The following is a 25,420-nucleotide window of genomic DNA, read 5'->3' on the forward strand; positions in this document are numbered from 1 at the left end:
CAATGCCATTAGCTACTGACTGTCTGGAGAAGGAAAAAAAGAAGCTCTGGATCACATCTGAGTGTTTTGTTCATGTAGTGGAGAAATCAGCTTTATTTTTCATGACCCAATGACAGTGAAAGTAGCTTCTCTGATCTGAGCAGCAGACTGGCCTAACAGCTTGTAGTAAAACTCCTATTCATTATTAACCCTATCATATTCCTTAAGTGTGGAAATGCTTCAAATAATAGGATCCAGTTCCCAGTCTCCAGGAGATTACGGCAAAGGCATCATAATGTGCAATATATCACGTGACGACAAGTACCAGAAAACCCATTTCCTATAATTAGGAGTGTTATCTCTTATTCTTAAGCAAACTTGATGACATATTGTATGAATAAAAGCATGTGATTTGTCAAAATGGCTCCTTAACCAGCCCACTGTTGTTATTCATATTACTCCAGATGACGGTAGATTTCTGTGAGTAGTGAAAGCAAAATGCCTCTTTTTCTGTGCAGCTATATCAAGGGAAAACCTTCAATACACCAGCGTATTTCTTGGTTCCATGTTGGTGAGGTTCCTGTTTGACTGTGGTTCACAGCATACATAGTATTCTCCATTTAAACACAAACTCATCATTTCAATGAAGTCTGTTTGTAAACCCAGGAAAGGCAGCCCCTGGCATATATAGTTTTGATGCAACATTGCCACATTGTTTTCAATCTCTGCTTTGCTTTTTCAATCTCTGCACAGTTGAGCAACCAGTGTAAAATGTTGCAGTGGTTTGAATTTGGAGGTTTTTTCTTTATTTGAGACAGCTAAAAATAACAATGGGAATGAAGTTACGATTTTAATTCTTGCTAGAAATATGTCTTAATGGGATACTAAAACACAATTTTATTTTATTACAAACAACCCCTCCTAATTAGGGACAGCAGTAGTATTTGCACTTGAGGATGGCTTACCTATTGAGAGGTATTGAACAAAATGAAATAAATGGACAGGATGGATTGGATGATTTGGTCCTTTCTAGTTCTAGTATTCTTTCTTTCCAGGAAATAGAGAAATATATGATGAGTTATATTTTAAGTTTGAAGTTTGCTTATAAGTAGTATAGAAAATGTGTTTTTAAAATAAATTAACTCATGTTAAAATTTTACATGAAGCTATAGGCTCTGTTTTTGTAGATAAGTGGTCCATTAGATTTTGTATTATGCCATTAGATGTATGAATTAAAACAATTTTAGGGATCAAATTTGAAAAATAATTCCTGCTTAACATAAAGAAGATACTCAGATCAATTTAGTGTGACATTTAAAATATTTTCTGTTGATCACCTAATGTGCGTTATGCTTGCTACATCTTTTCCCATAGATAGTATATAATACAAATGATTAAGACTGGACACTATAGGGATGGGCTTCAGTCTTCTGACAACCTTGGACCCTCTTACAAGTCAAGAGTACAGTGAGATTTATGACAAGTGAAACCAAGAGAGCTTTCTCTTATCATTTTCCACTGTTTGGAAACCCTAGAATCCTAGAGTAGCCAAATAGACCAGCGATTCTCAAATAGTTGTGTATATCATATTTTTCTGGGGAGCTTGTTTAAGTGGGAATTTCTGAGCCCCATTCTAGACATTCTAAATTAATGGTTCCATGTTTGGGTCCAGAATGTGCTGTTTATCAAGCTCTGCCAAGTGAGTCGGATGTTATCATTAGGGGAACCACATATGCAGATGCATTTGAACTAGTACTAGATAGGATAGCAAGAACCCAGCATGCATGGACTTTCTAAGCTATGTTTTCCTCCTTAATATTTACCAAGTATCTGCTGGAAGCCCTCAGTGAAATACCATTCTGTTTTGTGAGACAAATGTAAAGAGGACTAACTTCTTTGGTAAAAGCCATAGGAGTGAGTGACATGGGTGGTTGGGAATGACTCCATGGAGACAGTTATATATTTGGTAGCAAAGAAGGGAAGGGCATTGGCAGAAGGAACATTGTAATGACAGGTTAGTTGAGTGCAATAAAGGCTGAAAACCTTTGCATGGCCTTCAGAGCCCTAGGTGGTCTGGCCTCTGCTCACTTCTGCAGCCTCATTTTACATGAGCCCCAAACCACTTCCATCCCCAGCAACCTTCAATCATCAGTCTCCTTCTGCAACCTGCCCCCGCTTACCTCTAATATATTAACTCCTTATGCTCTTCAGATTTCAGTCCAGCCTCTAAGCCTCTGTTATGAGGTTACTTTTAATACAGTGTGCTTTTCCTCATAAAGTTATTAGAGAAAATATAAGATGCTCAGTTAAATTTGAATTTAGATAAACAATAAAAATTTTTAAGTATAAATATGTCTCAAATATTGCATGGGACATTGTCCTAGTCCCTTCCAGCTGCTATAACAAAAATATTTTAGACTGGGTAATTTAGAAACAATGGAAATTTATTGCTCACAATTCTGGAGGCTGGAAATTCCAAGATCAAGTTCCCAGAAGATTTGGTGTCTGGTCAAGGCCTATTCCTCATAGATGTCCTCACACGGAAGGAGCAAGGCACCTCCCTTCAGCGTCTTTGATAAGGGCACTAATCCCATTCATGAGGGTGGAACCCTCATGACTTACTTATTTTCCAAAAGGCCTCACCTCTTAATACTATCACACTGGGGAGTAAGTTCCAACATATGAATTTGAGAGGGACACCAGCTTTCAGACCATAGCAGACATACTTACATTATTTGTTGTTTATTGAAAACTTAAAAGTATTTGAGTGTCCTATATTTTTATTTGCCAAATCTAGCAATTCTGTTTATGAAGCTCACTAATTTTACAATTTCCTTTTTTTTAAAAAAAAATGGGAATTTTTCATTAATGCCAGTCCCCCTTCACTAATCTACAAATCCTAGAAGACTGAGGACAGGATTAGGGATAAATTGGTCTTGTATTAATCTTGCTGATTTGTCCTTCGTGTTTGAAATAGTATCTGGAACATAGTAGGAGCTCAATAAATATTGTCAAATGAATTAATGACCTGTTGGAGAAAAACAGTATAAACATGAACAAGTTTCTTTTTTAATTTTAATTTTAATTTCATGTTCTGGGATACATGTGCAGGTTTGTAACATAGGTAAACATGTGCCATGGTGGTTTGCTGCACCTATCAACCCATCATCTAGGTATTAAGCCCAGAATGCATTAGCTATTTTTCCTAATGCTCTCCCTTCCCTCAGTCCCTCCCCAACAGGCCCCAGTGTGTATTGTTCCCCTCCCTGTGTCCATATGTTCTCATTGTTCAGCTCCGACTTATAAGTGAGAACATGCAGTATTTGGCGTTCTGTTCCTGCATTAGTTTGCTGAGGATAATGGCTTTTAGCTCCATCCATGTCCCTGCAAAGGACATGATCTCATTCCTTTTTATGGCTGCATAGTATTCCATGGTGTATATGTACCACATTTTCTATATCCACCTTATCATTGATGGGCATTTAGGTTGATTCCATGTCTTTGCTATTGTGAATAGCACTGCAATGAACATACATGTGCATGTGTTTTTGTAATAGAATGATTTATATTCCTTTGGTTATATACCCAGTAATGGGATTGCTAGGTCCAATGGTATTTCTGGTTCTAGATCTTTGAAGAATCGCCACACTGTCTTCCACAATGATTGAACTAATTTACATTCCCACCAACAGTGGAAAAGCATTCCTATTTCTCTGCAATCTTGCCAGCATCTATTATTTCTTGATTTTTTAATAATCACCATTCTGACTGGTGTGAGAAGGTATCTCATTGTGGTTCCGATTTGCATTTCTCTAATGATCAGATATGTTGAGCTTTTTTAACCATGAACAAGTTTCTTAACCTCTCTAAGCCTAAATTTTTTCAGCTGTGAAAAGATGATTTTGTAATCTACTCTTTGGGATTGCATGTAGAGACAGCATAAGGAGAATATACGCAAAGCTCCTAGCATGTTACTTCATAGGCACTGTACTTTAAAAGGTATCTTTTCTTTTGTCTCCATATGTATCTTGTAAAATGAGAGGATACCTTTTTGATGTATAAAATTCCACTTTGTTTTCATTATACTGCAATTTCAGAAGCAATCGATGTTTCCCAAGTATTTACCTAATGCAAGGTAGTCCAGAGGATTCAGCTATGCAGTTACAAAAGTCCTGTTCTCAAGGAGCACCTATCTGTGGGCTGATAACACCTAGGGCCAGCTTCATGGGTCTTTAGCCTTAACAGTCACACTAAGCTTCACGTTTAGAAGAATGCTACATTTGGTTTAGTGTTCTGCTATCACCTCTTGAAATTCTGTGAGTGTGGGGTCCCATGTTTCCCTTTTGCATTGGGCCCTGCCAATTGTGTAGGTGGTCTTGTTAAGCTATGCATATTTGTATCCAGCAAATGCATGCAGAGCATTGTATTTAGTCTTCGTGGTAACCCTGGCCCTCTCCTTACTCAGAGAACTTGTGATTTTCCTGAGATGCATGGCTTATAATTAACTAAACCAAGTAATCAAACACCTAGTTCAGTGTTCTTTCTGCTACATCATGCCTGTCTTCACCTAATTACAATCATCTAGTGTGTTCAGACCTTTAGATGAGCATCTGGAGCTTTTAAAGACTATATCCTTAGGTCTCCTATTCTTCGGTGACTGCAGTGAATCCTCACTGCCATCACTGCTCCTGTAATTGCTGAACAAATGGAACTTAAAGTTCTAGTTCTGCCTTTGTAGAAACACCAGGAACACCAGCAGCTTGATTTCTAAGATGCTATCTCTTCCAATATTTAGGTTTTAACATCTGCAAATGTATGCAAGATAAGTAGTGAACTTTGGGGGGCTAAAATTTATCTAGGAGAAATATCTGAGATGTTTTATTCTTTGCTTTAAATTACCCAGCTGAGTCACGCAGCACGGAAGTTTCTGCAGCAAGGAACAGCCATGTATTTTGGCAGTGGGTAGAGAAGGTGACCCACTTTGTCATTTCAAGCTCCGACTAGCCTCTTTTAAAATGCACGTATTTTAATATCACTTTTTAGTAGTTCTAAGCACGCCAATTTTCTTGATTTCATTTTTGTGCTTCATATCTAAGAAGTGATATTCTAATAAATCCATGGAGCCATTGTCGTGTTTGCCCTCACACCATTCTTTTCAACACAAGACAGAATACTCCAGTCAATGCATATTAAACACATCACTAGCTGCATTGAACACAAAACAATTTAAGTGTAAAGTCTATTACTTTTTGAAGCATCCAATTAAATCTGCAACCTGTGTTTCCTGTTGGCCACATCCATGTGAAGGCAGAAATTACAGACTCACAATAGCAACCATAATCACTTCTGTGGTTCTCGTCTGACCCCAATTGTGGCATTCCCCGCCTGCTTCAAAGATTCCTCACTATTCTTTGAGTCCTTGAAGATTGCTTCTGTAGTTCTTGTCTCCTGCTCTGGTCCCTGCAGCAACATCACCACAGTGTTGCCCAGCCTGCCTCTCACTGCCCAGAATGCCTTGGTTCCAGTGTTGTGGAATCTGCTGATGCTGCCCTGTGCTGTTGATGTCCCTGGAGAGTTTAGAGAATCTGTGAATGTATGAGGCCTGGTGTACGAACATGCCAAGTGATACAGTGTACTGTATTTACAATCAGTTCCCCTCTCTAATGCAGGTCCTTTGTCCTAGGACCATAAATAATGGGCCTCAAATTGCCTTTCACTCAGAATAAGCTTTCTATGAGACTTTTTTTTTTTTTTAAGCCTACAGCTCATGTTCCCAGGTGGTCTTCCACTCAAGTACTAATCAGGCCTGACCCTGCTCAGCTTCCAAGTTGAGATAAAATCCCAAGAGACTTCTTAGTCCCTCCCCTTCTAATCATGCTCAGAGGTATCAGAATACTCATCAGAATTTTATATGTTTATTGCATCATTATTTGCAGTGGTGAAAAATTGAAACAACCTATATGTCTATCAGAACCTGATCACATTAATTATGGTTACTCCAAATAATGAAATACTACACAGCCACTGAAATGAATGAGGTGAACCTACATGGTAAAATGGAAATATTTTGAAGATGTTGTTAGTTAAAAATATAGCAATTTATGACCAGAATATAAATATACATATTTAGTAGAACCGATATAGTATGATTCTACTAAAAAGAATTTAAGGTACATTACAGAGTTTGGAAGAATAAAGATCAAACTCTCTTATCTTTTAGCGTATGGAAAGGACCTTACATATTTTACTTTATATATTTCTGAATTGTTTGAGTTTTCAACAATAAGCACACATGACTTTTGTAATTAAGGCACCAGTAGAGGTGGTAAATATTAATTTCAATATACACCTGCAATGCTGTTTTTCAAGCATGTGTAAGTATTAGTGTTCTAGTGGCTAAAAAAGTGGTGCCAGTTTTTCTCATGGATCTTTTTCCAGGCAATAATGTAGGTGAGGTCATCTAAGTTGTGAGAACGTAAATTGCTTTGGTACTCAATACAACTATTTTCATTTTGAATGAAAAAGGAACATGGCTATAAACACTCAATACAGTGACCTTTGAGCAGGGGCTGCTCATTGCTGACTTAGGTCACTAGAGCTGAGGATCGACCCCCATTCCTCCACCCCCATCCTCAATAAATCTTATTTGTCCAATAGCTGTCAAAAGCCTGTATTAATACTTGGAATATTTTGCTTTTAGGCACATTTTTCACTCTACTCGACTGTGTATTTGACGGGATGGGAGATTGGCATTTTTTTATCTTCTCTTGCTGTGGGCTGGGAATGTTCTCCCTCCTACCATCTCTTCTTCCCCAACTCCCGCCATACACATATTTATCTGTGGAAAAGTCTCCTAATCATCCTTCAATCCTCAGCTCGAAGGTCCCTTTTCATGACACTCCACAGCTCTTTCTCAGTCTCTCCTAGGCCCCTTGCAGCTCCAGCTGTGGAGTGCGTCTCATATTATGTCATGGTGGCTGCTCTATGTGTATTTTCCTACTAGACTTTTATACCTTGAGGAAGAGGCCAAGCCACTGAGATATTTGTAACTCCTGGCACTGGACACATAGGGGCTGGAAGCATTTTAAATTATTTTTAAACCTTTTTTATTAAGGTATATTATATAGAAAGAAAAGTGCATATTTAATAAGGGTATAGCTGCCTTTTCACAAACTGAACATGTCTCTTTATAGAGCACCCATCGAAAATCAGAAAGAATATTTCTAATGCCCCAGAGGTCCCTTGCATGCTCCTTCCAGTCATAACTATCTCCCACTATCCTGACTTCAGTCCTTTGGAGGTGCTTATCAAGTTCTCCCTCTCCTGCTCTGAATTCCATTGTTCCCTGCGCAAGGTCTGAGAAGCTGCTTGGCAGAGTCTTGCTTCTGCCAGTGGACATGCGAGTGGTGTGACTGTGTCCAGAATGTTGTTTGGGTGCCCAGAACTTCCAGTCCACAAGGTAGAGGCAGAGAAAAGAGCCCCTAATTAATTGCACACTTAGCCATTGGCCCTGCAAAGCAGCTTCGCTTGTGACCAAATTCTAAGCCCCTCATGAGCAATTCTATCATTTGACCTCCATGCCTTGTCCAGAATTTCACAAAACTGTTCTTGCACGGTCCTTTAGACCTGGGCCTTATTCTTCTTATCCTCCAAATATGAACTCATTCCAGTGAATCGGAATGCAACAAACTGACTTCCAGACTGTTCAAATTTCTCCTCTATCAGCTGGCTTCTGAGCCGCAGTGATCTGGATAAAGCACATTGCATTCATCCCTCTCTCTGTACTAAATATTCTGAATTCTTATCACAAGGCCAAGAAACTCATTGGAGAACACTGGGCTCTTATCAAATTATTTTCCCCCTTGTAGACTTGCTTCTAATGTCTTTCCCTTTGACATCACTATTCCAAGGAACAGTTTTAAGGAACTTCCCATATTTATTTTAAGGATGTTGCCCATTATATTACCCGTTGCCCTATTCATTACTGTCTATTCAAGAAATGTTTTTGGAGCTGGATGCAGTAGCACACACCTGTAGTCCCTGCTACTTGGGAGGTTTAAACAGGATTGCTTGAGCTTAGGAGTTCAAGACCAGCCTGGGCAAAATGGTGAGACTCTGTAAATAAAGAAACAAACAAGTAAATAAATAAATAAATAAAATGTCTTTGGAGTTTCAGCACTATAAGAAACTGTGAGTCTCCTGAGAAATGATTTTGTTTTATCAATTAAATTCATGATGGTATAATTTTTTTCCACAGAAAACATAGATTATAAATATATAGCTGGATCAGTTTGACAGGTGTATACATCTGTGTAGCCAAAAGCATATCTCCATTACCTTAGAAAGTTCCCTGTATCCCTTTTCATTCATTGCCTCCTTTCCCAGAGACACTGTCCTAATTTTTATCACCAAAGATTGGTTTTGCTTATACTTGAAATTCAAATAAAAGGAATCATACAGTATGTACTCTTGTGTCTGTTTTCTTTTTTTTAACACCGTATTTTTGAAAAGATTCATGTTTTTTTGTGTATCAATAGTCAATTCTTTGTCATTGCTGAATGCATAGTATTACATTATATGAATATACCACAATTTGTTTCTCTGTTTATCTGTTGGTAGATGTTTGAGTTGTTTCCACATTGGAGCTATTATCAATAAAGTATCTATGAACATCCTTGTGCATGTTTTGCTATGTAATGTAGTATTCACAGGTTCTGGGGATCAAGAAGTGAATATATCTTTGGGGAACCATTTTTCTGCATACCACACCTTCTGTATATCTTCTCTGATGCAGTGTCTGTTTATATATTTTGCCATTTTTCAATTGGGTTGCTTGCTTTCTTATTGTTGAATTTTAAGAGTTCTTTGTGTATTTTGGATACCAGATATGTATTTAATCAGATATGTGTTTGCAAATATTTCCTCCTAGTGTGGCTTGTCTTTTTATACTATTGACAGTGTCTTTTGATGAAAAAGAGTTTTAAATTTTAATAAAGTCCAATTTTTCTCTTTTTTTTCCTTTCATGGATCATGCTGTTTGTGTGGTATCTAAAAATCTCACCAAAAAGCCCAAGGTTATATAGATTTCTTTCAATGTTTTTTTTCTAGAGATTTTATAGTTTTACATTTTATAATTGGGTCTATACTCCATTTTAATTTTTGTTTAAAATGAAATATATAGTTTCAGAGGCTTTTAAATTAACAGACTTTATATTTTTGAGTGGTTTATAGAAAAATTGAAAATAAAGTACAGAGTTCCCAGTTACTCCACCCTCATGAGGTCCCAGTTCTTGCATCCATGTAGTAGATTTGTCACAATTGATGAGCCATTACTGATACATTATTATTAACTGAAGTAGTAGAATTTCATTGATATGCCTCTTATTAATTAACAAATCAGTTTCTTCAATAAAGGCTATCCAGAGTTTCAGTTTCTTCTTATGTCAGCTTTAGTGTGCTGCCTTTAAAAAGAAATTTGTCAATTTTATCTGGATTGTCAAACTTATTGCATAGTTATTTATCATCATTAGTTTGTTTTTATCTTGTAGACTCTGTGATTCTTGTATCTAATTGTATTTATTTCATTGCTTTGACTTCTCAGGTCAGTCAAGTTTTTATATAGAGTCTTCCAAAGTCATGTGGCATTATCCAAAGACCTTTAAAAATATATATGAATTATTTAAGAATCATTTCTATTTCATTAGAACGTGGAAGATTAGTTGCCTGTGGTTATATACAAGTTTTTTAAACTCATAATTTATTTTTTTGTCATTGAATAAAAGCTCTAAAAATATCAGAATGTTAGTAACTAGATAGAATGGTATATTTAGTTAATTTGAAAAATAACTAAGTGATAGAAGCCAGGTTTGTGGAAAATACCAATCCCTTTGAAAGCAAAACTGTTGATAAAAAAATGAATTACTCATGGGTTTTTCTTTGGGTCTACTCATTACTTAATGCTGTATATGTTTAAAATCTAAAAGGATAAATGAATTCTGATTTGAATTTTGATAACAAAGGCTTTATTTTGTGAAAACTATCGGTCTTAATCCTTATTACATCTCTGCCTGCTTTTACATGAATCTGTCAGGATACAGAAGCTTTACATATTCTATCTTTCCACGTGATTGTAGGGGAGTGAGTTCATGAAATACACATTGGTATGATTTGTTGAAGGGTTTTTCTAATACCCAGCACCTCATATGGCTTGGATTGAGCATTTATGTTTATATTGCACTGGTTAACTTCTATCTTTTCCCTATATTTTATCCATTGCTTCTTTTTCCTAATATCTATCAATTCCATGTCCAACATCATAAATTTCTTATTGGCTTTCCCTATTCTTCTTTTAACAATACTTGTATTCTTTATGCTGAGAAAAAAGGAAAACTGTCTCATTTGATATATGAGACATTGATTGCCACATCATGCTGCTTACATCAACCACTTTAAAAGTTAGTGACATAAAGCAACAATCATTTATTTTCATCCACAAATCTGTAAATTGGCTGAGGGCTAGGTGGTCTAGACTGAGCATGGCTGGGGTTTTTTCAAGTTGCATTTTGAATTCAGGTCTTTTATCCTCCTGGGTTAATAAATTACCCAGTTCATGTTTTCTGCGTGGAGGTGGCAGAAGTATGTGAAAGGTGAGCAGAAACATGTGATGCCTTGTGATGATTAGTTTTATGCATCTACTAAATTGGGCCATGGGGTGCCCAGATATTTGGTTAAACATTATTTCTGGGTTTGTCTGTGAGGGTATTTCTAGAGGCAATTACCTTTTGAATTGGCAGACTGAGCAAAGCAGATTCCTAGGCCTCACCCAATCTGTTGAAGGCTTGAATAGAATAAAAGGCTGATTAAAAAAGAATTCTTTCTCTCTGCCTGACTGTCTTTGAGCTGGGACATTGATCTTCTACCTTTGGATTCAGGCTTTGATTTAAATTATACCATTGACCCTCCTGGGTCTGCACTTCTTAGCCTCCATAATTGCATGAGCCGATTCCTTATAACAAGTCTCTTTATTATTTCTCTCTATATTTATATCCATATGCATCCTTCTAGTTCTGTTTCTCTGAAGCTAATACCTACCTCTTAACCCTAGACTCAGAGCTGGTACACTGCCACTCAGCCCACATTCCATTGACCAAAGACCTACAGTGCACAATACAGTTCCACATAAGCAAAGCCTTGCCTTGCATGTCGCACAGTTTTCCAGTGTCCCAGCAGATATCTATTTAGGTAAAAAAATCTGTTTCTAATAATTTAAGCCTAGAATTGTATTCTGTTTTATATATAAACACAGTATCTTTTGCACAATTTTGATATGTTGTAAATTTTTTAGGAGTAAAACTACTTGTAAATCAAGGGAAGACTATATTTTGTTGTGTTTAAAGTCTTACTGAGAGTTGTTCATCATTTCTGCATATCACATTGCCACTGGTGACAAACCTATTTGTGACATTAAGTTGCCAATAAGCACACCTGTATTTGTCTACATTGGCATTTGTTGCATTTGTGATTATTCTACACTTAGATATTAGCATCCAATGTCTTCATTTTGTATTTGAGAGTTGTTACACTGGAACATATACATATTTTAAAACATAATTTGTTATTATTTCTTCTATTTGACCTTAAGGCATTATGCTGATATTTTAAATTTATGTGTAGAGGTAGATTATAATATCTATGAATATTATTTAATAAGGCATTGCTAAATATGTGTTATTACTAGGTGCTTTTGAACATCTCTAAATCCTCTATATTTTAGCACTACATTGTAGTAAGCTGACATATTTGGAGGTGGGAAAGGAGAAGGATATAATACAGAGAGCTCTTCTATCTTAATATTGTGTCTGAAGGGAACATGTTCTTTCTGTGAAGGCAGTCACATTATTCTCTCTCTGGCAGTAGTTGAGAGAGGGTAGTGTGTGAGCTGGGCCTACCTACAGAGATGGGTGATCTGGAGAAAATGTGCAAGCGTTTACCATAATTCTGCCTCTGAGGCTCTCCTGAAACCCAGGCAGTCCGAAGGCTTGTCCTGTGAAGGTCCTGAGTTTTTTACTGTGCAGCTCTAATTTTGATTAGTAATGAGTAGGAACAGGGGAAGCTTAGGGAGAAAAGAAACAGGTGTTCAAAGATGGCTGCTTCAACAACTGTGGGAGATGCCCAGTAGGAATCTGGTGGTTTCTTTCTAATACTATTTTTTAAATTCTGTTATTCTTAGAGGTCACTGTCAGTCAGTGTTTCCTGTGGGAGTCCCCTGCCAGAGTCTTCTGTGTATAAGAGTGGGAGCCTCCTGACTTGCTTCCTGAAGAGACTCTTACAAAAGAGGGGCTGAAGGCCTGGTGACCAATCTTTGTCCATAAGCTCAAGGATATTATATTTTCCTATTAAATGAAACTGATTTAAGGGCAATTCAGAAGAAATAAATCAGAAGACATTGAAAGAGTGACCCAGGACTAAATAACAGATGCTGCTCAGTGGGCCTTTTTGTCTAAAGCTGGAGTATTGATAAAGGCATCACACTCTATCTGCGGCATGCAGAAGACATTGTTGTCGGGGCAAAGCTATCCTCATTTATTGATAAATACATTACAGCTAATTGTTTTCCCAAACATTCATCACTCTGAACCTGATACGTAATAATCATGCCTGCCTTTTGGCATACAGATGTGTGTGCACAAAGTTTGATTATATTCAACAGCAGTAAATGCAAAATGAACAAACAAAACAAAACAAAAACAACAAATAATCAAACAATAAACCTGTAAAGGTTAACATCCACTTCCCAGAAAGCCTGAGGAGAAAAGCCAGTGATTAATATAATTAAATGTGAGACCATGAATCCAGGTCATCTTATACCTGTACCTTTATTTAATATCAGGAGAATGATGCAATTCTTCTTACGGGCTGACATCAGCAAAACCTGCTGGCCCTAGAAGTTGTGGAGGCATTGGAGCGCTGCCTAAATTGCCCACTGATGGGGAGAATCTGAGCCAAGATTAAAGGGATGCTTTGCAATGAAGAACTAAGTTATTTGCTCCCAGCTTTGGGGCATTATGTACTTCCTTATTACCATATTATATATTATTACCTTATTACCCTATGAGTTGCTATGTTGATTATCATGTCAGACAGTTGGTGTAACATCATATTTCACTTAATAAAAGTCCCAGATATGATGGAAAATAACAGTTCATTCTGTATGTGATCTGCTGGCTTAGAATTTTTTTTCTTACTAGACGATTTTGAAATTGGGTACTACAAAATTTAAAAATTGTATGATCTTTGCCTAAGATTGAAGTGCTATAAAATGTATACCTGAGCTCCTGAGACTCCTAGTGATGTTTTTGAAATATTTTTACTGTACTTCCTGTTTGCCATATTAGTGCTTTCTTTTGCTCGTGTGTGTGTGTGTGTGTGTGTGTGTGTGTCTTGTCTTCATGTCCTGTTGCTGCTAGTGATGAGTTGTAACATCTTCACTCAGGAAATGATGACATCGTTAAATGCCTTCTCAGGGTTCTCTGATCACACTGTACTTTTCTGCTTATAAGGGTTTCCTTCTCTCTCAGGATAACCAACCACTGATTTTTAGTCTGGCTGACATATGACAACACAGAATTCTCTTTCATAGCAGTTTTCACTGTGTCTTTGACTGACAGCACTGGGAATCAGGATCTCTAGCTTCTCAACATAACATCTTCTCAGGCTAACTATTGGTTTCATTCTTAGCCTGTAGGACATTTGGGTTTATGTTCAAGGTAGTTCAGCTTAACCTTCTATTAACAGTAAGAAGGATTCATATTGTATTTTCTGATCATACCAGGTTTTCCTTCTCTTCATCCGAGCTGAATTTCTCATCCACCATTTCAAGTTTAATTCTAAGAACTAATATGTGTCTCTGAGAGTGTATTTTTTAGGCTCAGATTTCTCATGTCTCAGAAGTGGTAACACTGAGAGTTGTGGTTAGATGTAAATTCTGGCTCTTATTTGAATTTTTAGAACATGCCCAAAGTCTCTGAATGTACAGCCATGTCAGCAAATTGGCCAAAATATTTTATTTGTAAGATGCTCAGTAAGCATTTATTGTATCAATTAGCCATAAAATTAGCAAATTCTTTTTAGCTTTGTTAAATATTAGGATAATAGGAAAAGGAGGAGCTTTAGAGAAATCATGACCTTTTTTTAGTTCTGGTTTGTGTAAAGCTGCCTTTGGGTCAACTGGAGGTCCAGTTTGGCGACTTATTTGCTTATTAGCTCATAAGCTACAGCTATGCTAGATGAAATAAATGCAACTTCACAGTATGTAAGAAAACTAGCATCAAATTCAACTTTTTTCTACGTTTGAATTAAATTATACATTTAATTCAACTTAGCATCAGTTATTGCCCTTAAAGAGCACTCTTTCCTATGGGATCATAAAAGGTGCTGGAATTTCTCTAGAGATAAAAAGTCACACTAGTGATTTAATAACAGTCTTTAAGTATTTAAAGGGCATATGCCAAAAGATAATGCCTACTTTCTCTTCTTAACAGGATTGAAGAAAATAGACATTAGGAGATAACTGAAATATTTTAAAAAATGAAATAGAAATTTCAATCAATCAACAAATTGACCATCTCCCTTGTGCAAGGGATATGCTATGCTAATTAGGAGAACTGAGGTGGGTGGGATCTCAATAAGCATGCATACCTGTGAGGGAGAGCTCAGACAAGTTGTCTATCAGCCCTGTGCAACAGAGTGAGGATTCAGTAAAAGAAGTCCAGAACTCCATGGTGGTTTGAAGGCAACAGTCTGGTGTTTGCTCGAGGTAGGGTTTCTCAACCTCAGCACTACTGACATTTTGGACCAGATAATTCTTTGTTGACAGAGGCTGTCCTGTGCATCGTAAGATGGCTTATGACAGCCTTGGCATCTACCTAGTAGATGACAGTAGCATTTTCCCCTGCATTGTCACAACCAAAAATGTTTCCAAATATTTCCACACGTCCCCAAGGCTGGGGGTTGGGGGGAGTGCAGAATTGCCCTCGTTTAATAACCACTGATTTAGAAAATGGCTTTTGACATTCTCCCTAAAGTGCAGTAAGTTTTATCAGGCCAAAAGAGGGAGATGCAGGATGTATGAGGAGAGGGAATCTTGTGAATGGGGGTGCAGAGGTGGAGCACCCTGGGTGATTTGGGGAGTGGCGAGTGATCCTCTTGGTCTGGGAGAGAGGACAGAAACACAGGCAGTGGTGGGAGATTGAGCTGAAGGGTGGGTGGGACTCTGTGAAGGTCAGGTGCAGCAGTTTGGGCTCAATTTCAGCAGAAGTTACCTTTATCGGAACCACACATTTAGAAAGATTAATTTGAAATCAGGTGTACAGTGGCTTAGGTCAGGAACAGCCTTGAGGTAGAAATACCAGTTAGGAGTGGCCAATTTCCATTACTTTGTAGAGATGAAATTCTGTTCTTCATTCATTCTGTGAAGTGGCTAGCCCATATGTATTTATCATGTCTCTTGAGTGCTAGGCACTGCCCCAGCTGTGGGAGGTAGAACCTAGAAGACAAAGTGCCTGTTCTCATGGAGTTTACAGTCTAGAGGGGTTGAGATGGACAATTAGCAAATAAAAATGAAACTATCAGAAGAACTTTCAAACAGTACTTAAAAGCTATGAAGACAGTGCAGCAGTTGATGTCAGGGACAGTGACTGCTAATAATTATTATAAAATTCATTATAAGAAACTCAGACATACTCATAGTTTTTTACATCAACATTTATTAGAAATTTCATCCAAAGGTGGCCAAAAATAGAGGTAAAATAGAATATATGTTTCTCCTATTGGCACATGAATGTCTCTGCTATGAAGAACTTTTTTTGGTAAATTTATTCATTGGAGAGAGGCTTTACTGCATGATTATGAGGACATTGAGACAGAGTAGAAGGGGAAGAGGAAAGAAGGCAACTAACATTTGCAAGGTTCCCAACACATGCTGCTGTGCTGCTGGGCACTTGATATTTAGTTTTTATCACACCCTCAGTCCAGGTCACTGTCATCTCTCACTTGGAATAATATAACAACTTCCTAACAGGATCTTTGGACTTCAGTTTTGTCCATCTTCATACCATTATCCTACCTGAATGACCTTTGTAAAACACAAAAGCACCATGTCTGTTCTTGTGTTTAAAATCACCAAAACACCATGTCTGTTCTTGTGTTTAAAATCACCAGTGGCTGTTTCTTCCCTTAATATAAATTAGCAATTCTTTACCAGAACCACAGTGCACTCCCTCAAGTCCTTGATGGCATCATGCTCTCCTCTGCCTCCTCTGATCCTTTATGCCTGCCTGGAGACTCTCCACCTCCCACCCACCCACCAGATCACATAGCTAACTCTCACTCATCCTTCAGGACTCAACTAAAGATGATTTCCTTAGGGAAGTCATTCCTGGTCTTCTAAGGTCCACCTTAGGCACCCTTCCAATGTGCACCCTCCCAGTGGGTTGTGTTATCCAGTAGCAATTACTCTATGTTGTGAATGCTCATTCTCTTGTCTGTATTTTGAAGGTTCACTCTGGTGAACCCAGGAGGTGACACAGGGCTTGGCACAATCACTATAGAGGGAATGAATCAGCATTTTAGAAAGGAAAGGGCATAATCCCAGAGAACACATATTACTTGCTCAAGGTCACAGAGTTTTAAATAGAGCTTTTATACCTGTCAGGCTTAAAAACCCAAGTTCTGCCCATATACCAAGGGAATCTGTGTGTTCTGCAGAGCCATGTGAGAGCCTTATAAAGACTCGTTTGGCTTAGATGGTTTACTTGTAGCCTTGTTGAGAGATGTTGAATAAATATACGTTATTAATCACTCAGAAAAACATGCCCCTGACTTTAGTAGTCTCTTTCATTGATGTGCTTCTGTGATTATCACCAACCTAGAACTGCCAAGGCTTGACACTTGTTTATATCCAGAGGCAGCCTTAACATTTAGAAGAGCTAGATTTTGTTTTTTTATTAGTTTTGTTCATTAATATTCTATTGGACGTTGACAAAGTGCTTTTTCTTACAGCACCTGATATGTGTCACTGCTTCCTCTCCCCATTCTGTTAGAGTATCAGTCCATAAGACCATACAGGAATGTGTAAAAAAAAATGGAGATTGCAATAATGCATAATTAAAACTGCTGAAATATTTAGTATTTTGTTTAATGGGTCTCTAAAGTTGTAGCACCTTTGATTCATTATTTACCAGTATGTATTTAGTCCTCATACCTTTTTGTAGTCACTGAAATGCAAAGCAGGGAGAGAGAGAGAGAAACTTTGATGTATTATTCACCTGCATCTGAGCTTATTCCTAATTTAAAGACTGTAGTAAATAGCGTTGTTTTTCCTGAGCACATAGAAATTTAAACAATAATTTATAAAACAAAATATTTCAAGTAGTATAATACTGAAATTATCTTAAATATTAATGTCCCCTCACTATGTGTCTTAGAAGGGAATATAATGATTGTGCAAAGAAACCCAAAATTCTCCTTCAGATTATGTTAATCTCTGGAGTTTTCACCATTACCACTTCTGGCCAACCTAGATGGGTTTGCATGTCAGCCTATGGCACATAAAGACAGCCATAGCTTCACCAGACAGTTGTATGCTCTTATAGCAATATGCTAGTTACTTATATTAAGTTTGATTAATAGACTAATAATAGCAAATATTTATTGAATGCCTGGGTGCTGTTAGGGCACCTAGACTGTTTGTATGCATTATCTTATTTAAACCTCACAGTTCTAGGAGATTGGTACAATTTTAAGGTGTTTTCTGATGAATTCTGCTAAACATTTAAAGATGAAATAATATCTATTTTACACAAGCTCTTTTAGAATATAGCAAAAGAGGATACACTTTCCAACTCATTTTATGAGGACAGTGTTACTTTAATACTAAAACCATACAAAGATATTTCAAGAAAACAAAGCTACAGACCAATATCCCTCATGAACATAGACACAAATACTCTCAGGAAAATACTAGCAAATTGAATCCAGAAATGTATAAAAAGTATATACATCATGACTAACTTTATTCTATGTAGTCTATGGAAGGCCCTAGAAATATGTTCATTTCTTAGGTGACTTTAACTCATTTGCTAACATCAGAATAAAAGTCAGCAGAGAGGAGTGACAGGATATATGATAGCTGTAGGTAGCACTATGAGCATTTTGTAGATGCCTGCCTGTATGTGACAGTTGTTAACTGTTCTAATGTCAGTATTGGCCAAGGCCCACGGGAAGGGAGCTGGCCAAAGTGCTGAAATGCCTGGCCAGTCCAACAAAACGCACTACAACAGAATTTCCTCAACTTATTTGATCAGGGAACAACTGAAGCTAAATTCAGGGGACAATTCACAGTTCTCATATTTCTATATTTATCAGCAACTTTTTTAAGAGACAAGGTCTTGCTATGTTGGCCAGGCTGGAATGCAGTGGCTATTCAGAGGCCTGATAATGGCACACAGCAGCCTCAAATTCCTGGGCTCAAGTAATCCTTCTGCCTTGGTCTCCCAAGGAGCTGGGACTACAGGTGTGTGCCACTGTGCCTGGCTGCAAAAACGTTTCTTCAATAGATACTAGTGAATAGAGCTTTATCAGCAACCTCTGACATAGTTAATCACTTCCTTCTTGTGCTAATTATTAACATACTCTCTAGCTCCTAACCTACCTTTCTACATTCTGTTTGCGATACTAGAGATGGGACTCTGCAGACTATATTCCTGAGATGGCTCCATGGTAGGCTCTGCCAATAGGAGACACTAGAGGGAGATGAGAGAGACTGGCAAGCTGGAGGAGGAAGAAGGGACCTGCTCTTTCTCATTCTCTTTTCATGGGCTTTTGTCTACATGCGGTTGTTGTGGGTGTCATGCCTTAGAAAAACTTCTTCACCCCAGAAGAGGCAGTTTCTTCCTATTTCAGCAGATGATTCTCGTTTGCAGTTTTTTCCCACAGTTGCAGAAGCTGTCTCTATGGGTTGAATAATTTCCTCCAAAAAGTCATGTTCTCCCAGAACCTTAGAATGTGATATCATTTGGAAATAGAATCTTTGCAGATGAAAGTAGTTAAGATGAGGTCATACTGGATGAAGGTGGGCCGTAAATCCAAGGTGTCCTTAGAAGAAGGTTATGTGAAGACAGAGGCAGAGATTGGAATGATACATCTTCAAGTCAAGAAATGCCAGGGATTGCTGGCAACCACCAGAAGTTAGGAGAGGCAGGGAATAGATTCCTCCTCAAAGCCTCCAGAGGGAGCATTGCCCTGCCACCACCAACGCCTTGATTTCAGGCTTCTAGCTTCCACACTATCAGAGGACACATTTCTGTTGCTTTAAGTCATGAGGATTGTGGTAATTTGTGGGGCAGCCTTAGGAAATGGATACTGCCTCATCATAGCCCTCTCACAGACACAAGCCCCAGATAGCTAGCACCCTTTTTTAAACAAAGGAACCCAGGGGTTCTCTCTCGGTCCCTCAAACCAGTTGAGTAGCACCTGCTTCTCAGAAGTCTGAGTTTCAGCTCTGTAGGGCCCTTTCTCTAAGTTTATTTAATAATTAAAACTCATACCTTTGCTCCCCCAGCCCTAGAGGTTATAGTTTTTCTTCCTTGCAGTTGCTACCTTTGTGATATTTTACAGTTCTCTTTTTGCCCTTTTTGTGACCTTGCTAACAACTTCATACTTAATAATTATTTACATTAAATTATCTGCGTTCAGTCTCCCAGCTGGATGCTGACATATACACACCCTCCCTGATAGTCTTTCACCATTAATTTCAAGTGAAATTGCAGTCTCTTGGTCTTCCTCCTGCCACCTAGGTACCTCCTCAATCTTCTTTGCTGGTTTACGCTCTTCTCCCCAATCTCTTAGCTTTCCTGTGATCCGGGGAGCAATCTTCTCTTCACCTCTCCTCCCTTCTCATCTTACACTAACAGTCTTGGTGATCTCATCCATTCTTGTGGCTTCAAACTCCATCTATATGCTGTTCACTCCCAAATGCATATGTTTGGCCCAGACCTCTATCCCCTGAACTTCAGCTACATACTCAGCATCTCCATTGGATGTCTAATCAATAGCTTAAATTTAATATGCCTAAAAGCTGAACTCTTGATGCCTTCTCTGCACCTGCCCCCACCAAAACCTGCTGCTTCTCTACCCTACCCCATCTGAGTTGATAGAAAATACATCCTTTCCCTTCCTCTCTTCCTCTTGTGTACCGCATCAGGAAGTGCTTGTGCCTCTGCCTTCAAATTATAACCAGAATGTAACCACTTCTTGCCACTCCCACTGCTGTCTACTATCCCGTGCCCCCTCCCATCTGAACTACCTGAATTACTGAGGTAGCCTCCCACATACCTCTCTGCTTCTACTTTTGTCCTCCTGGAGTTCATCCTGAGCATAGCAACCAGAGCAATCTCTTAAAAGAAGTCAGATCATGTCCCTTCTCTGTGCAAATCCCTGCAGTGACTCCTCTGCATACTCACAGTAAAAGCCGAAGTCCTTACAGATGTACACAGGGCTTTATATCCTATGACCCCTTCTTACATTTCTGGGCTCATCTTCTGCTCTTCTCTTTCATTACTCTGTTCCAACCACACTGGCCTCCTTCCTGTTTCTTTAATACATCAAGCATGCCCCTGACTCAGGGATTTTGTTTTGTTTTCTCTGCCTGGAACATTCCTACTACATAGATCCTCTTGGATGTCTCTTTCCTTCTTTAAGTCATTGCCTGAATCTCATCTCTATGAGGCCTACCCTGAATTCTCTAATTATCACACAACCTATCCCCTCCCTACTCACAATCCCCCTTGCCTTACTCTTTTTTTTCATAGCATATATCATCTTCGAATAAACATGTGGCTAATTTTAGTGTGCTTATTGTTCATTGTCTTTCTCCCCATGCTAGCAAGTAAACTCCACAAGGCAGGGTCTTGCTTGTCATTGTTGCATCCCAAGTGCCCAGAATAGTGCCTGACACACAGCAGTTTATATCTCGTGAGTGTTAAAAGAATGAACGTATTCACAAATCATAAATAGAAACTCAAGAAATGTGTTATGCAGTTGAGGTAAAGTAGACCACAAAAATGAGTATACAAAGGAATTAAAGACTGCCAGGAATAACCAAATAATCCAATGGCAAAATATACAATTCCAATATTAGACTTCTCAAGAAAATCAGTAAGCAATCCAAAAATGAGGTGATTAACAACAAGTCAAAATATTCTAATTTAGGAGCAACAGAGTGTTTCCAAATATGAGGATTATAAATTTTTTGTTTAATTCCAACAATTTGAGAGTGATGAGAGCTTGTTGCTTTTGTGAATTCTAAATGTTTAGTGTACAATAATACCTGTTAATACTTCTCTGACCTACAATATACCTCACACGGTTTAGGAAATGCTGCCATGAAATACTGACTAGCTCGTGAGTTAGATTTTGCATATATGCATTTATGTATAATAAGAAATAATACCTTGCAGTTTTCAGATTATTATTAATTACATTTTCATTTGATACTGTGACAGTTAAGAATTGATTACAGCAGTTACATAAAGTATCTTTGAAGACCCACAAAAAAGGCAATCGTCTTGGCTGGACATGGTGGCTCACGCCTGTAATCCTAGCAGTTTGGGAGGCCAAGGCAGGCGGATCACTTGAGGTCAGGAGTTCGAGAACAACATGGTGAAACCGTCTCTACCAAAAATATGAAAAATTAGCCAGACATGGTGGTGTGTGCCTCTAGTCCCAGCTACTCAGGAGGTTGAGGCAGGAGAATCACTCAAACCCATGAGTCGAGGTTGCAGTGAGCCAAGATCACACTACTGCAATCCAGCCTGGGCAACAGATGAAGACCCTATTTCAAAAAAAAACAAAAGCAAGTTTATTAACAGAATTTATTTTCATGAGGTTTTGTTAAGATTTGTCATTTTAAAATAATGTTTAATTCTTGAAGTCGGTAAAATATCTACAGATCTTCTTAAACTTTGCATTGCACCTAAGTATGCAAAAATCACATTTTGGGAAAAGGTCAATCACATTTTGTCCATACAGCACAGTAGGCAAATGTTGCATATATTTGTTTTTCAGGATACTTTTTTGGATGTTGGTCTACATGGAGCATAGGGCACCTTATTTTAGGACCACTGACCTGTGATTGACAGAGAGTGGGGAATCAACAAAAGATTATGTAATATGAAAGCAACTTAAGGATTTTTTTGGAGTATTTAGAAAGCATTTTTTAAAGTTCTTGCTTTTCAAAATGTAATAGCAAAGATAGGTAGTTAAACAATAATGTGAGAATAGTAAAGTTAACTTATATAATGTGGCCAGTTAAAAGAGATAAAATTGGAGTGATGTGCGTTCTCTAGGGATAAAAGAGGACACAAGAAACGGAATGAGATAAAAGAATTTGGAAGAGTCATACAGAAAGGCAAATGTAGAAATATGGGAACAGAGAGTCCGAGTATTAGAGACATGCACAACTTTTGCAGAAGCTGCTCTAAGGAAGTCTTTAAATTTCTATATTTTAACATAAAATATTTAAGCACAGGTGTTCTTAAAATTGTATTCTTCACCATATTAGAGGGGAGAATACCTTTCTCTTATGCAAAAAATAAATACCCGTATTCCATCGAGGCCAAAAATTTTTTTTCATTGGATAACCTTAACTTCATTTAACCTTTTAGGATATAAAAGATCATGTTTTGGTTTCAAGCTAAAGCCTTAAATTATCTTTTGCTGCTTGACCTGGGGATCAAATGGATCAAATGTGAGTCCCACCCTAAAGCAAATGGCGATAACATGTTAGTTTCATTAACTGTGGTGAAAAAAATATAATTTGGTTGTTTGGCGTCATGTAGACAAAGAAGTTGACTAACTTTTGAGCTATCTGCTGGTGGTGTTTTCTTGTATCTCAACATTGTCCTGTTAGTGTTAGAGATGATGTGAATAGCCCAAGGTCCCCAGCCAATATCTGGCCAACGAGAGATGTGAGTGACTTTCTTTTTCTTTTGATGATCTTTGTGAATTTATAATTATAGAACCATCCTTTTTGCTTTTAAACACTTGGAGGAGGAGATTCAGAAGAAGAATTTGTGTTAGAGGACTAATTTCCAAGCCTTAACTGCTTACTGTATTACTACATATATCTTTAAAATATGTTGAAAGTTTCAGTGAATGAGAAGGAATGAAAAGAGCAAAGGAAAGTGATAGGATTGTTCATGTGTGCTCATAAATATTCTATCTTTCTTCTTTCTAGTCTAATATCAGAAGAGTTGCAAAGGGCTCAATCTCTTGAGATTACAAGAATAGTGCCATTTACTATGTCCAATGAACAGTATCTAGCTGAGATTTGAAGTATCTGCAAACCTCACTTAAAAATTTGAGGGGGAAGGATTATAGGGAAAACACCAATGAAATATGTTATAATTCTTCTTAAGTATAATCAAATGTGGGTTCATTTCATATACAGTCAGTTCTTTAGTAGGATGGGTGTTACGGGTTAAAATGTGTCCCCGAAAAGAAATGTTAAAGTCCTAATCTCCCATACGTGTGAATGTGCCCTTGTTTGGAAGTAAGGTTTTTGCAGATGCAATCAAGTTAAGGTCATTGGGGTGGGCACTAATATGACTGGTGTCCTTATGAAAAGAGAGAAATTTGGCACAGACACATAGGGAGAAACTGAGGCAGAGACTGGAAAGATGCCCCTACAAGCCGAGGAATGCCAAGGCTTGCTGGCCACCGTGGGAAGCTGGGAAGAGGCAAGAAAGGGTTCTCTACAGGTGCCAGAGGGAACGTGGCTCTGCTGACACCTTCATTTCAGACTTTTAGCCTCCAGGATAGGTGAGACAATCTATTTCTATTGTTTTAGGCCATCCAGTTTGTGGTATATTTTTACTTGGAAAAGGAGTACTGGGGAACTAATACAGTGGTTTATGTCTAGGAAAGTCATTTAAATCCACAATGACTTAAGTCAACTCTGATTTTCCATAGAAATAGAATAACAATTAGTGGTTACATTTCATTATGACCAGTCCAGTTCTTCAGAGGTATGGCCATCCACAGTATTTTTAGTCACCTAACAACTGTAAGTGGTGTCCCTCTGAATCAAATCGTGTTTTCTAACATGCATACCCCAAAGGACTGACTTCTATATTTTTTGAAATCTTTAGGAAAGGAACCCTGCTGAATAGGGGAGAAGCTATGGGGTTATGTCAAAACAATGAGAAGGGCTGGTGGGGGCAGAGGCAGCAGAGAAAGAAACAGAGGCAGCAGAAAAAAAAACTTTTACCTGAAGTCAAGGGCATGGAGTGTGATTTGTTGTGCTCGTTGGGAAGTGGATGGCTTGGATGGTGGACAGTATCACTTGGTACCTCCTCTGTGACTGCAGGAAGTAGGGGCATGAATGTCTTTGGTAAGAATCTACTTGGGTGGAATTGCTGCATTTTCATATGAAGTTAGTAGGCAGGGCACTCTCTCCAGCAAAGGCACGTTCCTGAAAGAGCTATTTTTCTAATTCAGCAGACCCTCGGGGTTTCTGGAGTTAACATTTGTGGTCGGACAATCGAGAGAAGTCTCATGAGTCACTGAATTGAAGTAATTGTGCTGAAGCACACATTTGATCACAGAGGCTGCAAGGTTGGTGTGCAGAAGTGAGTTCTGGGCACAGGAGCCAGCCTAGCAGCCCATGGGCACCAGCCTCACGGCATAGCTCTGTTGTTCGCAATTTGTCTCCTTACGGACATTTTATCGAGAAATTAGAAACTGAATTCTGAAACCAGGATGGGATGAAACATATTGGAAAGCTGATGCAGTGTTGCCTGCTTGCCACAGTGGTGCAAAGAACATGAGTGTTGGGAGTTCCCCAGGGCTCAGCAGCTGAGAGAGAACAAGATTCAGAGCCAGAAATCTTAGATATGGGTTCACATTTGCTAGAACCGGCTCTGTGTGACTCTGGGCCAGTCGCAATGCATCTCTCCATCTCAATTATTTTTTCTACAAGATCTACCCTAGGTACTTATGAGGATCAAGTGAGACAAAACATGTTAAATTACTTTATAAGTATAAATGTGCAATGCAGATGATGTCCCATGAATGCATATCCCTGAAAATCCAAGGGCTGGGAGTTGAATATTGCCTATATTAGAATCTCTGTGTTATGCACCAGGTGAGGAACCTTTTTTGGGGGAGGAGAAGTGGGGACGGATTCTAAAAGATCCTCTAAATGGAAGCAGAATCTATCAGATCTGTCTGCTCTGGGAGTTATTTTTTTAATGCCCTTTGAATTATAAGTTTCTTCACTAACTCTTTCTTTCTTTTATATCTAGACCTGCCTGTCTTAAGGAATCATGTATGATTTTCTTATGACTAAAGCAAAGGTGGTTATTAATGATGAATATTTTTAAAT

General features: G+C 38.2%; 1 protein-coding gene and 1 pseudogene across 5 annotated transcripts in view, besides 1 other annotated feature; one reads left to right on the forward strand and one right to left on the reverse strand.

Moving 5' to 3' along the window:
- SV2C (synaptic vesicle glycoprotein 2C) overlaps nucleotides 1-25,420 on the forward strand; it is a 506,476-nt gene that overhangs the window by 238,514 nt on the left and 242,542 nt on the right. The window lies entirely within an intron of this gene.
- On the reverse strand, nucleotides 5,731-5,824 carry RNA5SP186 (RNA, 5S ribosomal pseudogene 186; annotated as a pseudogene).
- Nucleotides 18,184-18,384: a silencer, noted in NCBI's record as "peak5296 fragment used in MPRA reporter construct". NCBI's record gives its function as "represses an SCP1 promoter by STARR-seq MPRAs in K562 erythroleukemia cells {active_cell/tissue: K562}" and the evidence as "EXISTENCE:reporter gene assay evidence [ECO:0000049][PMID:32103011]".

The sequence above is a fragment of the Homo sapiens genome, chromosome 5 (genome assembly GCF_000001405.40).
Source record: "Homo sapiens chromosome 5, GRCh38.p14 Primary Assembly".
In the NCBI taxonomy this organism is placed as follows: Eukaryota; Metazoa; Chordata; class Mammalia; order Primates; family Hominidae; genus Homo; species Homo sapiens.